We start from the raw sequence: 14,491 nt of genomic DNA on the forward strand, positions 1-14,491 counted from the left end.
TGACTCTGCTTAAGCGTATGTGGATAATAGATATAAATGCTGTGAGTGTTTGAAGGGTCTGAGGGGGGAAGAAAGGCTTGGAAATAGTTCAGCCACTTTAGGACAATAAACTTTTACTCATTGAAGCAGAGAGACGTGTGTGAGTGCATTCATGCGTGCATGCGTGTGTAGGGTGAGTGATGATCAATGGGGAGCGAGCTGGTGGGGCATCTCTTTTCTTTCTCCTCCCTGTGGTCTGACAAAGCCTGTCTGTCTTGGCTTGCAACCATTCGTAAAGACCCCATAGCTTCCACTGGCCTCCTGCGCAGGAGGGCAGGGAGCAGGGAGTCATTCATCACTGTCAGGAGATGTGCTGCACACAGCAGGGCCCGCTTTCTTCCCTGCTGCTCCTGCAGCTAGAGCTGCAAATCTTGAAAAGATGCAGAACATGCACATAGCAAATAACCATTCATCATCTCAGCTCTGGAAGCCCCGGGAGAGGCCCCTCCCCATGTGGGGCTGACCCATTCTGAGTTGGACTCCAGCCCCGTTGGAATTTGGAACACAGGGACTTTTCAGGTGCCTAATCCCTGGCCCAGCCATTCTCCATCCTGGATAATCTATTGAGGTTTGGGGTTAAAATTCTCTGAAATGATCCCCCCTGCCCCTGTCTCTACAAGGTCAGATTTTCAGAGTGCTTTCAGCAATCAGACTGCTGCCAAGGTGGCCCGTAATCATTAAATTATGAAAATACAAGTTGCTGAGAGGAAATGAATACCAGGTTTCACTAGGGAAAGGCCTGCTTTCTTGTGAAGTAATTATAAAATTAAAATGTGATATTTCTCTGGTGAGTGTAAAAAGCCTCCCCATGAGGTAGGTCTGTGGCATGACGGCAACATCAGGATTTACACTGGGGTGGGACTGAGAGATCCTTCTGTGTCCCCAAAATGCCAGAGACATCTGCAGGTAAATTTCCGAAGATTGGGTTAAGAGTGATTAAAAGCAGAAAGAGGGAAAAGTACTGAGTTTGAATTTTTCAATTACTCTGTAAAACTCAAGAGTCAAGCTGTTCAAAAATGTAGGCTTTCTAAGGTAGGCTAATAACGCTGAGCTAATTAGACCCACAGGCATGGCCAACACATAAATTTGGGCCCCAAAGAGGGACACTGTCCCTTTAAAAACCGCCTTGGGATCCGTGGAAAAGCTAATGAGGAGTGTCAGTTGGGGCTGCTTTATTAGGTGGTCCTCAAGAGGATAAAGCCTGGGGTTTCTGTAACAGGGCTTCTGTGCTTGATTCAATAAATCAATTTATATTAAATGCGGGCGCAGCTCTGGAGTTGGCTTCATAAGCATTCTGTGGCGTTTCTCAATCTGCTCATCCACTTCCTTGTCAGCCTGCTTGAATGCACTGTCAGAGGGCATTGAAGAGAGCAATAAAGAATAAGATAGAAGCTGTATCTATATTTGTAAAACCCAACCTGGCAGCTCCAGACCATGTGTGGAACTATCTCCAGTGAGTTTCTCTCTCCAGAAAGCGTTTGGATGGTTGGTGAGAAGCCTGATGCTGTGGGGCTGTGCTTCTCCACCCCAAGCCAAACTCCAGGCTATAGATGGAGAATAAAGGTCACCCCAAACACAGTGGAAAGGGTTGGAAGCCAAGCTGCTTTTAAATCATATTCTCAGGGCCTGAATTACTCCCCAAGAAATCAAAGGAAAAGCAAGAGGGACAAGAGTGCCAGCAGCTGGTCCTCATCCAGGAGATAGGGGAGAGAGCTGAAAGAAGGCTGCTGGGCTGCTTGAGGAGGGGAGGTGCGCTACTGACTAGGGCTGATGAAATGGGTCTCCCTTTAGTCTGGCCAGCTGGATGCAGCTTCTTGGTGGCCCAAAAGTGACTACTGGCTATGAAGTGAGTTGTTCCTAAGCACAATGACTGATGCCCCTGAGGATCAGGAAAGGGGTGTGAAGCCCACCCCTCTGCTGACTCAGAGTCTGGCATCAGAGGCACCAGAGGCCGGTGTGGCTACACCATTCCCTGTCCACAGTTATCAGTACCCATCCCACCTTTTAAAAAACTCTTTGGGGCCAGGTTTGGTGGCTCATCCCTGTAATCCCAGCGCTTTGGGAGGCTGAGGCAGGAGGACTGCTTGAGCCCAGGAGTTTGAGACCAGTCTAGGCAACATGGCAAAACCCTGTCTCTACAAAATACACAAAAATTAGCAGGGTGTGGTGTCACACACCTGTAGTACCAGCTACTCAAGAGGCTGAGGTGGGAGATCACTTGAGCCCGGGAGGTTGAGGCTGCAGTGAGCCATGGTCATGTGACCGCCTTCCAGCCTGAGTGACAGAGTGAGACCCTGTCTTTAAAAAAAACAAAAAAAACAAACCAAAACAAAAAACTCTTTGCTGTTGGGATGCTGAGTTACAGAGAGCTCCTTGCACCACACCATTCCCAACTATACCCACGCTCTTCTACTATGTAGACCACAGCACCATGCCGTAGAACTTTCTGTGATGATGGAGACGTTCTATATCTGCATGGTCCAATTCAGCAGCCACTAGCCACATGTGGCTACTGAGCAACTGAGATGTGGCTAGGGCAACTCGGGAAATAAATTTTTAATTTTATGTAATTTAGCTAATTTAAATGGCCACATGTGGCTAGTGGCTACTGTGCTCGAGAGCACAGAGAATGGAAATTTCTCTTTGCCTCAATAAAAGTAGAAAGTGCTGAAAGGAGAAAATGGGCTAACTCCACTCTGCTCCCAGTGGAAAATCCCCTATTTGCTCATAGTTTTAAGGGAAACAGAGGAGGGAAAATTATCGTGATGTATCATCAAGTTAGAATTATAAAAAGTTAGGGGCTCTAAGGGACAAAATAAAACACTGCCATCTCTGGAATCTTTCTAATGGGATCTGTCTTTTCCAGCAGCTCTAAAAGCAGAGCAAAGCCTACCCCCTGCCGCCACCACACTTAGAGGTTCGCAGCAATGGTCAGAGGAAGTATTTACGAGAGACCTAGGCCAGGATCTGCCCAAGGCCCCAGAAGCTTGGCAGAGCAAAGTACACAAGGTGCCTATCGCCAAAACAGGACTCTCTTTACCAAGTCAAGCATGTGATCTCAAGTTACCAGTCCAGCCTGCCCCTGAAATGAGACCATCATAACGTTAGAAAGGCTTTGCTTAAAGGAAGAATTCTGGTATACTTTGCTCATGACCAGAACCATCTGGAAGCAATCTAGCATTCACAAGATGGACTTTTCTTCTTTGGCCCTTGCTCTCTCTACAAATCCCATCAGCCCAGGAACAGCTGCTGGAGAATCTGGCCTGGCGCCAGGGGTGAAGTTTCAGCCCCCTCCCACACACATGTCCCTCTGGGTCCCTGGCTTGCTTGCCACCCCAGGTGGCTGGACATGGCACGAAGTACGCTGATCCTACTTGAGAAAGCGGAATAGCCAGTGGTCACAGGAGCAGAGACTTGGTGCCACAAAGCGAGCTGTGAGAAACTGCTGTTTCAACTCGGTAACATAGACACTTGCCAGTAAATTATGGCCTGAGACATCTCAGAGGGCTGCGGGTCGGGATACACTGCTCTCAAGGCAACACAATGCCAGCTACAGTGTGCATCCTGCAACAGCAGCTCAACACAAAGGGATGGGGAGGATGGGCCCCAGCTTGGGGATTCTGGCACCGGGACCAATGACACCATGCGCAGGAGGTGAGAGCCAAGGGGGTGATAGGGAGAGCAAGGGAAGACTCCATCAGGAATGAACTCAGCACTGGGGGCACTGCGAAGAGAATGGCTTTGTAAATCTAGCCACTGTGCAAACTATCTGAGGAGAGGGGGAAGGGGAGGTGGGGGAGCCAGGGAAGAGGCCAACTGCATTATGAAGGTCCTGGTGACAATAACCTTTTGTCCTCAAAACAATTTGAGCCTGCCAAGCTGCTCCACAGTCTCCGTGAAAGCATGAGGGTGGGAAAAAAAAGGATCCCCATTAAGAGGCAACAGACTCATCCTTAATTATGAGACAAGCCTTCCCAGAGCTGACATCCTCTCCCACACTTCCTCCTGCAGCAGACACACCACTGAGTGCCGGCGTGGTGCTCCTCTAATGAGAGCAGGCAATTTTTCTAAGAACTGGTCCTTTTGGGATCTTCCCCAGAACCCCCACCCCCAAATGACACAAGCTCTTAGTGAGAAGTGTGAAGCATCAGTTTAATTTGAGCAATGGTCTACAGGGTCAGACTGGGGACTAGAAAAGGGACGGCCTCAGCAGTCCTAAAATGCTTCATTCCATCCTCTTGACCCTATAGGATCGTCAAGACACCAGTCCTGGTGGACAGAGGGCCCCTGCTTAAATGTACACCGAAGCTCGAAACTGAATGATCATGTCTAATTATCCTAAAGAAAAGCTGACTGGCACACTGTATTAGAAAGAACCCCAACAAAAAGTCAGAAACCTGGATTCTAGTCCTTATTCTGACACATTTGCATCAGCTGTGTGCAAGCTGTGTCAGAAGCTGAGCAAACCACCTAATACCTCTAGGCCTCAATTTGCTCACCTGCAAAATGGGAGTAAGGGGGGGTCATTCCACATTTGGCAGTTTAGCACCTTAGTAAGCACCACACACTCTGAAGTTACGCTGCCTGGATTCATATCCCACTTTCTCCTCTTACGAGTTATGTAACCTTGAGCAACTTAGCTCTGTGCCTCAGTTTCCTCATCTGTAAAATGTACCTAGTTCACAGGACTGTTTTAAGCGTTAGGTATGAGGAATTAGGTAAAGCTCTCATCATAGTGTCTGGCCCTTAGCTCTTCCAATAATTGTCAGCCCCATTACCATGATGATTAGTGGAAGATGAGGAAGAAAAAAAATTCCACAACTAGGCATTTACTACAAGGATTAAACAGCTTTGCAGTAGGTGGACTTTTTACTTGTTAGAAGGTTTCAGAAGAATGGGTTCCAGGCTAGAGTGCAGTGGCATAACCATGGCTTGCTGCAGTCTCAACCTCCCAGGCCCAAGCAATCCTTCCACCTCAGCCTCCTGAGGAGCTGAGACCATAGGCATATGCCACCATGCCTGGCTAATTTAAAAAAAATTTGTTATAGAGATGGGGTCTCCTTATGTTGCCCAGGCTGGTCTTGAACTCCTGGGCTTAAGTGATCCTCCCATCTCGGCCTCTCAAAGTGCTAGGATTATGGGCATCAGCCACCATGCCCAGCCTCCCATCTTTAAGTCCTAAAAAATAACTGCTAGATCTAAGGCTTTCTGCTAGAGGGTAAAAACATTTTAAAAAGGAATTCATTAAAGTTGGGGGGAGTGCTTTACGTAGGCAGTAGTCTAAATTGAATGGATGATTGATTTACTGATTCATTTATTTATTTAGAGATGAGGTCTTGCTCTGTTGCCCAGGCTGGAATGCAGTGGCATGATTCTGGCTCACCGCACCCTCGAATTCCTGGACTCAACTGATCCTACCACCTATGCCTCCCCAAATGCTGGGATTATAGGTATGAGCCACTGTGCTTGGCCTAAACTGGTTTTCAATTTCTTAGGTTCTTCTGACAAAGATGTAAAGGGCTTTTCTTCAACTTAAGTCCTATTTTCAAATCAAAAGTTGGAACAGGTAGGAAATGCACAAAGATGCACATAAATCTGCTTGTAGCCAAGGTTGTGAGCCAACAGCCGTTTGGGGAATTAGGCTGAAAACAAATCAGCAAATCACATCTGACTAAAGCCATTCTCAGTTGTGGCTCCTTCATTATTCATTACCTTCTGTGAAGTTCTATACAATTAAAAATAGCCCATTTGTGGACTGTTTATCTGCTTAGGACCATGCTAATGCAGAGAGAGAGAGAGAGAGAGAGAGAAAGAGAAGGAAAATGAGAAAGAGAACAAGAGCAAGTGTGCACGCAAGAGTGAAAGAAAGTAACTGTGTGCATATAAAGTTGGATATAATCTAGTCCCTGAACTTAGCTACATTTTTTTTTTAATTATAAAACCAGGACAATCTTTAGCCATTTTCTAAATATTAAAATGTACAAGCCACTAAAAACAAAAACAAAAAACAAAAACAAACAAAACACAAAAGCAGAGCTTCCAGGGTTTGGAGAAAGAAACATAAAAAAACTAACCTCATCACACATTCTACTTACAAAGAGAGGTTTGAGTGGAACCTTTACAGCCTTTGAAAGCATCTGGCCCATTAAAGTGACGATGCCTATTATCTCATTAGGAGTGCTTTTCAAAGTTAGTAACAATGAGCTGTTCTTCTCCCCCTTTGAATCAATACTAAGCATCTGCAACAAAGATACTTTTCCTTATTACAAAATCCTAGGCAGATATTTATCATTTGTTTTGACTACTTTAGATCTAATTTGCCTTTCTGGCATAGAAAGAACATAGGTACAGCCTTGCCTCAAGCTCAATCTGCTTTAAATGTGCACATCAACTGTCTGCAACATTGATCTCCCCACTTCTGTCAATTATACCTCCTTTATTCCTTTCAGCCAATACATAATTGCTGCCTGTTTACTATGTGTCAGGCACAGGACTAGGCACTGGTGTCCCCCTCAAGGAGCCTACAGACTTGTTAAAGAGACATATTTAAATAGGCAACTGGTGCTGTCAATGACTTAACCTCTTACCTTTATCCCTTGGCCTAAATCATTTAGTTTCTTATTCATTTTCGTTCCATGTTTTCTGCTTCTATCCCTCTATTTAGGCCTCGAGACCTCACATAAATGTTGTTATGATAGTTTTTCTCTGAGTACCTGAATCTGCTTTCTCTCCTAGTCAATCTCATTCCAACTTCTCTTAGAATGGCCCTCCAAAAACATCACTTTCATTTATTTCTCTTTCTCAGGAATATATAAGAGCACCCCATAGCCTCCCAGTAAATCTAAACTTGTCTGGCATCCCGTTTTCCCTATCATGTTCCCTCAGTACCAGCCCCATCTGTCTCCCATAGTCTCTCCTCTTCTATTTGGTCATGTTCCTTGCTGTCTTTTAGATCTACTCTTTTTATGTGTTTACAACCATGTGGGTTCCTAACGTTCCATCTTTCCAAACTCTACAGTTCCCAGACTAAACCCCATGATGCTTTGCTGAATTACACTAGCTCTCACATTAAACTTTTCCTGTACAAGTGCTGATTTTGCTAACTAAATAAAAATGGATTCACAAGAAAACCCAGTCAGGGTTGGTATGATGACCCTGGGGCATCAAAACTCCAGAACTCAGAGCTGCAAAGGTGAACCCTTTCTGATAAATCCATTCATATTTTAGAGCAGGGGTAAATTCTTAGGCTTGAGAACCAGTCTGTGATGCAACTACTTAATTGCCCTGTTGCAGTGTGAAGGCAGTCACAGATCAAACAAACAAATGGGTGTAGCTATATTTTTAAAAATTATTTCTGGAAGTAGATGGGGTAGGCAGAATTTGACTCTTAGGTCATAGTTTGCTAACCTTGTTGTAGAGGAAGAAGAGTGGATACAGGTGAGAAACTTCTCTTGGTTGGCAAAGGACAACCAGAAGCCCCTTGGCCTCTTATCTTCTCTGGGTAGCTCAACTTGTTCCCTGAAGACAGTATGTACCCTGGCAGTAGATCCCTGGCCAAGTCATCACCATGGGAATTTGGGCTGTGACCATCTGCTATTGCTATTTTGGTCAATGGGGAAGAGATAAGAAAATCTACTTAATCTACTTCTTTGACTCTTTTGGAGATATGGGGAAGAAAGGGTCCATGGTCTCATTCTCATATGGTCTCCAGACTGGCAGGAGGCTCGCTCGTTAGGACCCCAGGGCACAAGAGCAAATCTTCACCCACACAGTGCCAGGCACTGCGCTCTCATTTAATCCTTACATTAACCCTATAGTGTATAAGTACTTATCATATCTATCAGTCAGATAAAAGAAATAGCTGAGGTCTTAGTCAACATTAGCCACTGCTCCATCCTAGAAATGTTCTTGATGCTTACACAGTTGTGTTTTCGGAATACGACAACCCCCCTGACAAGAGTTCTTATTTCAATTTGAATGTGATATTAATGAGAATAGCTCATTAACTTTAGCCTTGATAATGAATCTTCAAAGGATATATCTTTTTATCACTTTATCCATGGAAAAATGGGCTCTAGAGGTTAAGCAATTTAACCAACTTTGCTCATTTAGAAGAATCAGAGTCAGGATTCAAACCCAAGTCAGTCTGGCTCAATAAACCTTTGGCCATTCTACCTCTTTAATAACCCTGACCTAAACACATAAAGCTTCATGTGTTTTTAAAGCCCTCAAATATTTGCTACATGTGAAGTGAGAAATCAGGTCAGTTTCCTGGGGTCCAATATCCCCAAGGAGGGCCTCGAAGAAGCAGAGAGGCAAACCAAGGCTCGTGATTTGGTCCTAAGCAAACATAGCAGAGGCAGGTGTACCCCCTTGTCTTTTACCACAAACCCTGGTCTCTGGCTGTGCTTCCTGATCCAAACTGTGTAACTGGCTGTTTATGGTGGTGATGCTTCCTTCACACACACTGTGTGGTTCCGAGGCAGAGGAAGGCATGTTCTTACCAGCCTGTCATATTAAAGTCCCTGTAGAGCATCTTCTTTCCAAGCTCCTTTCTCTGTACTCTCCTTGGAAACTCCAAATGTGTGAACTCATTTCCCAGCAAGTGAGGCTGCATGAATGCCTAATAGCAAAAAGAAAAAGAAAAAACACACACATACACGTATTTAGAGAAACAAAATAAGAATCAAGGATGTTTTGCAAATTGAGACAGGCCATATTTTAAAAACAAGAAAATTGCCTCATATTTTAAGTAAATAGATTTCAGAGTTTAAACACTAATAGAAGACGAGCACATAAAAATGAATTTACAAAGGAATGTAACTTTTTCATTTGATCTGATACATTAATTGTAACCAAATGCATAGCTGAAGGGATCAGGAAAAAAGACTGAGCTTCTCTCTAAAGAATGGCTTTTTAGTTTTCCAAATGGTATACTGGTGAGATACGGGGTGAGAAAGCTCCCTGACGTGGTCTTTTCCACACTCATCTCACTTACATCCTTGGTTATCACGGCCTTGCCTTTGAAACCTGTGTGTGAGCTTCCATGTAAACACAATGGCTTGAGTGCTGGTTGGGGCTGGATGCAGCAGACAGGAACTTTCTGTTGGACTCCCTCCAGTTTGCTCTGCAGTCATTTGATCGTGTCATTCGAAGACTATTCTGGAGCAGATGGCTTCTCCCCCTCCCCCAAATCTCTGTTCACACTACAAAAGTCTTGAGCAAACAGCCACTTAGGGAATTGCTTTGAAACAACAGTCTCATTGTCACATTCAAAATTCAAATCTAGCAATCCGAGAGACGCAATGCTCACGTACTAACTTCTCTACTCAGAGGCCACATGCTGCAAGCAGGCCTGCACTAGAACTTCCCCACATGAAGCTGTCTACCTGCTTCTGAGCAGCATGGTGGAATGGATCTTCTTTCTTTTCTGGCAGGGAAAAGAGTGGGCAGAGCAAATCACAGCCTGGCAGTGTAGGAAAGCAAGGGATCTCTGCCACCAGGCAGATGGTCAGGTCCTCAGTGTATGGGTCATAGGCATCTCTTACAGCTACTTTGCTAGGACCCAATGCCGGCGGATCTCTCACTGATTCTCATGAAGGTCTGGAGGTATTAGTTAGATGGTAGTCATCCAATGCTAAGTTTTTCAGGAACCAAAGGAAGGAAGCTAAGTTGTCACCAGGCTGGTCATATTTGCCCAGATATGGAACTCTGAGCAAGTAATTCTGGGCAGGCTTGGGGACAGGACAGGATGGGATGAGACAGGGTGACTGAGGGTGAGCAGGAGAACTGTGCTTCCCATTTGCTGTAGCCTCAACAGTTTCTAGGTCTGGTGGGAATTCTGGATCACTTTGAGGGGCTCTGAAAATTCTGCTGGGAGTAAGGCTTGGGGTGCTGATGGGTATCAAGGAAGCTTAAATACGAGGTTTTACAGAGAGGTTCTCCTGGGAAGGAATGAAGGGAACTAACACTTAATAGGTCAGGTCAACAGTGGTGCTTTGGGTGAGAAGAATTTGGGTGTGAATCCAAGCTCTGCTTTCATAAGCAATGTGGTTTTAGCAGGTTATTTAATTTCTTGGGCCTCAGTTTATCTGTAAATGAGATTAATTATATATCCCACACTGCTGTTTTCATAATGTAATGTCTATTAATATACTTAGTTGTTTCTGCTTACAAAAAATTATTATAGTCACCTAGTGATTATTGAATCCTATTATATCCTGAGTACTACACTCAGTGCTTTGAGAGTTCTAATTTCACCCTCTTAACAATCTTCTGGACAACACTGGCTACATCATTTGTGGGGCCCGGTGAAAAACAGAAACAGGGAGCCTGTGTTCAAAATCAAGAATTTCAAGACAGGGACAGCAGAGCATTAAACTAAGCAGAGCACTAAACTAAGCACGGCACCCTCCGCGACCGCACAAGTCACAGGCCCATGAAGCTCGTCATGCCTACTGGGTACATACTATTTTATTCTTTTTATTTTAGTCCGCCCATGAAAACTAAGGAACAAAGGCATAAGTGGTCAACGGACAGCACCATCTGTTATAAGCCCTTTATGATCTTTCAGAACTTTCAGATTGTATCAGCATGAATACAATCCACTACCCAAGCTGGACTAACATGGGCTTAGGGGTTACCATGTGCCAGCCCCATACCAGGTACTTCATACACCTGATCTTACTCCCCAACAATTTTACAAAGCAGGAGTCGATTTGATTTACAAATGAGAACACTACATCCTGGAGAGGTTAAGACCTAGCCCGAGGTCATTCGCCCAAGACTGGGTGGATCTTGAGCCTGAGCTTAATATCATGGTTATAACCCTCATCCTAACCATATTTTGGGCCTTTAACCTACACACACATTTTTACAAAAGATAGTAAAGGGGCCATAAGAGGCCTGTGATCCTTTGCACTTAGACCAAGCAAAGTCTGAATCAGTAAACCTTGTTAAAAGAACTCACACACACAGAGCCACACACAGTATGGGCACAAAAATGTCTCTGACATTATTTATAACATTAAATAACTAGAAGAAATCATTGAATGAATAACTCATTAAATAAACTAGCATAAACCCAAACAAAAGAATTCTATGGTGTCACTTACAATGACACTACAGAGAATATGCAATGACACAGAGTTGCGTTAAGTGTAAAAAAGCAGGTCATCAAACAATATGTGTGTGTGCATGAACTTGTGAGTGCTGGGTCATATATGCACAGATCTTTATAGAAGACATACATACGTACACAGATGCTCCTCTGCTTACAGTGGGGTTACATCCCAGTAAACCCATTGTAACCTGAAAATATTGTAAGTCAAAATGCATCTCATACAACTAGCCTACTGATCAGAGCTTAGCCTGGCCTACCTTAAATGTGCTCAGAACACTTACATTAGCCTACAGTTGGGCAAAATCATCTGGCAACACAGTCCACTGTAAAGTGTAGGTTGTTTACCCTCATGATTGGGTGGCTGACTAGGAGCTGCTGGCTCACTGCCACCGTCCAGCATCACAAGAGAGTATCATACCACATATCCCTAGCCTGGAAAAAGGTCAAAATTCAAAATCAATTTGAAGTATGATTTCTACCAAATGCATATTGCTTTCACAATATCAGAAAGTTAAAAAAAAAAAAGTAGCGGTGCTTTCATTCTGCTTTGTAAAATGAAGGCTGCCCTGATTAAAAAAAAAAAGTAAGTTGGGAACCATCTGTTTACAAATGAACATGTTATGGTCTGAATGTGTCTCCTAAAATTCATGTGTTGGCAATTTAACCCCTAATGCAACAATGTTGGGAGGCAGACTTTTTGGGAGGTGTTTAGGCCATGAAGGTAGAGCCCTCGTGAATTAATGCTGCTATAGAAAAGGGCTTGTGAGAGTGAGTTCACTCTCTTGCCCTTCCACCTTCTGCCATGTGAAAACAGAGCAAGAAAGCCCTTACCAGATGCTAGTGTCTTGATCTTGGGGCTTCCCAGACCCCAGAACTGTGATAAATTTTGTTCTTTATAAATTACTCAGTTTGTAGTATTGTTATAGCAGCACCAGACAGACTAAGGCTGTGTGTGTGTGTAAATACAGATACGTGGCATGCATATATATTATTAACAAACAGGTAAGAATCCAAACGACATTCCTGAGCACATTTCTTAACAAACCCCATGTCTAAGAAGGTGATGCATGTTCAGGACACACTACCTCCAATCACAGTACCTGGGCATTTGAGGGAACAGGAGAAGCAGCCCATAGAAACTAGGAAGAATTCCCCTTACTCCTCCTCTAAAGCAAGCCATGAGACCTAGCTCACCTTCCCCAGAAAATAGATCATTAAGACCCGATTCCAGAGGGGCCCTGCACCATACCCAGAGGAAAGAAATATCACACAGGGATGCCAAGATGATGCTGAACAAACAGGCCTTGCTAAGTACCCCTACCCCTGAGTTTATTACCATTAGATCTTTTGTCCTTTGATCAAACTTCTGTATGACTGTCCCTAAAAATACAGTTTGCCCTGTTTCCTTGGGGCTTTCTGAAGACATCTATGTGACATAAGCTTATATTAAATCAATTTGTTTGCTTTTCTCTTGTTAATCTGTCTTTTGTTATAGGGGCATCAGCCATGAATGGGTAAGAAATCTCTTCTCCCACATAAGGGTAAGTGTGGAGATTTCAGGCGCTTTGCCTCCTAACAGGAGGATGAGTGGGCCCTTTGATGGTGCTTTAAACCAGGGACCCTTGGGCTCTTTTTGGCTGATATCCATTTGCCTGGGTGGCTGCGTCAGAAGATCTGTTGAGGCAGATGTCTGTGGGTTAGTTGGGAACTCCTCAACAGCTTTGATAACTGCAGGGGCCACCTACCCTCTCCCTCTGAGGATGTGCAGGTTTGAAAGGGCCTTAAATATTGTGTCACTCTGAGGCGCCTTCACACACAGAGCCTTTCATGATTTCCACAAACTGCTTGCTTTCTTCCAGGATAACAACAGGGTATGATATTTCATCAAACATATATGCCATTAGACGCACCATCATTTTATTACTTCCAGGAAGAAAAAAAGCAGCCAATTAAAATATGTATAATTCTTTCTTAACACTTCAAATTTTAATTTTATCCTTTTCATAAGAGCTGAGACTTAGACACATTTTTATTATCTATCACTATTGTATATATTTAATAAGGGATATAGAATTGAAGTAGGTTGGCTAAGGTTTCCAAAACTTTTACATTTAGAATCCAACTGCTCTCATCATTTTTCAACTCTGAATCATGTATGTTCATAATTTTCCACACAGAAGTGTTGTGTGTTTCATGAGAGCACCGGTGACGCAGCATTTTTTAATTAATCCACAACAGCACTGGAAGCCTCAAAGCTAAGGGTGCAGAAGTTCTTAAGCCAGCTTTGCAATCCTCTAGAGCCAGCTTACTTCTGACTCCCACTTCAGGAATGTGGCTAAGCAAGTCTGAGTCACACCTCCTCAAACTCCTCCGCACAATTAGTTGGATCCAGTGATGCTTAACAAGCCCTTCACTTTTCTCTGCAGGATGTTCTTCCAAGCTGCTGGACACCCATCCCACAAAAGTTTGGTGTGTTGGGACTCAGGACATTCTACCCCAAAAAATGGCACCTTGGCATTTGAGGAAACAGCAGAAACAGGAAAGTCTCTCAACTTCCCCTTGTCCCTCTCCCCTGAAGCAGGTCACAGGATCCTCATTCCAGAGGTGCCCGCCCCATATCCAGAGGAAAGAAACATCTTTAACTCTGAAGACACAGGGATACAGAAGAATCTGAACAAACAGCCTTGCTAAATTCTCCCCAGTTTATTCCCATTAGATCACACCCACTTTATCCAATTATATTTCTCCATGACTGTCCAGTCTTCCTCAAACTTAAGCATAAAAATATACAAAGTTTACCTATTTCTTTAGGTCTTCAATTTCTCATAAAGTCTCCTGTGTCATGTAAAACTTATATTAAATAGATTTGTATGCTTTTCTCTTGTTTATCTTGTCTTTTCTTATGGGGGACCTTGTGATGGGTGAGGAAATCTTTTCCGCCCCTGCAGGTGTCTGCCCTTTTGATGTTCACATATGTCCAGGAGATGACATGTCATGCCTGTCCCCTGGCTGGCAGCAAAAATCAAATATAAAATTCAGATATGTTAAAAAAAAACAAAGACGTGTCTTAGTTCTGAGGAAATACTGTCATAGTCACCCCCCCACTGATACTGATGCCACACTCTTAGATTTCTCCATCCTTCTGATTTTTCTTCCTCTGTTGCTAACTGACACAGCACAGGTGGCATGATTCATTTTCTGTCATAATCATGCTTACCATAGAAATTATAAGTACTCCTTGTGTACCTGTGATATATTTTTACCACTCTCTCTTTTTTAAAAAATCACCACCCACCTCCTTGCCACCACATTCAATACTTACTGCTGTTG

General features: G+C 43.8%; 1 protein-coding gene across 3 annotated transcripts in view, besides 2 other annotated features; it reads right to left on the bottom strand.

Moving 5' to 3' along the window:
* The window catches only part of PPM1H (protein phosphatase, Mg2+/Mn2+ dependent 1H), a 291,157-nt gene that overhangs the window by 67,634 nt on the left and 209,032 nt on the right, over positions 1-14,491 (bottom strand). For all 3 annotated transcript variants that reach the window (NM_020700.2, XM_011538578.3, XM_017019676.3), the window contains exon 6: positions 8,544-8,662. In NM_020700.2, the coding sequence (NP_065751.1) occupies positions 8,544-8,662 (119 nt within the window). The remainder of the gene's footprint in view (positions 1-8,543; positions 8,663-14,491) is intronic.
* Positions 5,941-6,453: an enhancer, noted in NCBI's record as "NANOG hESC enhancer chr12:63111348-63111860 (GRCh37/hg19 assembly coordinates)". NCBI's record gives its function as "activates a minimal SCP1, AML or CMV promoter by ChIP-STARR-seq in naive H9 embryonic stem cells {active_cell/tissue: H9 hESC(naive)}" and the evidence as "EXISTENCE:reporter gene assay evidence [ECO:0000049][PMID:30033119]".
* Positions 12,772-13,971: an enhancer, noted in NCBI's record as "MED14-independent group 3 enhancer chr12:63118179-63119378 (GRCh37/hg19 assembly coordinates)". NCBI's record gives its function as "activates an origin of replication core promoter dependent on BRD2, BRD4, P300/CBP and CDK7 cofactors, and independent of MED14, by STARR-seq in HCT116 cells {active_cell/tissue: HCT116}" and the evidence as "EXISTENCE:reporter gene assay evidence [ECO:0000049][PMID:35650434]".

This window comes from Homo sapiens, chromosome 12 (assembly GCF_000001405.40).
Source record: "Homo sapiens chromosome 12, GRCh38.p14 Primary Assembly".
NCBI classification, from domain to species: Eukaryota; Metazoa; Chordata; class Mammalia; order Primates; family Hominidae; genus Homo; species Homo sapiens.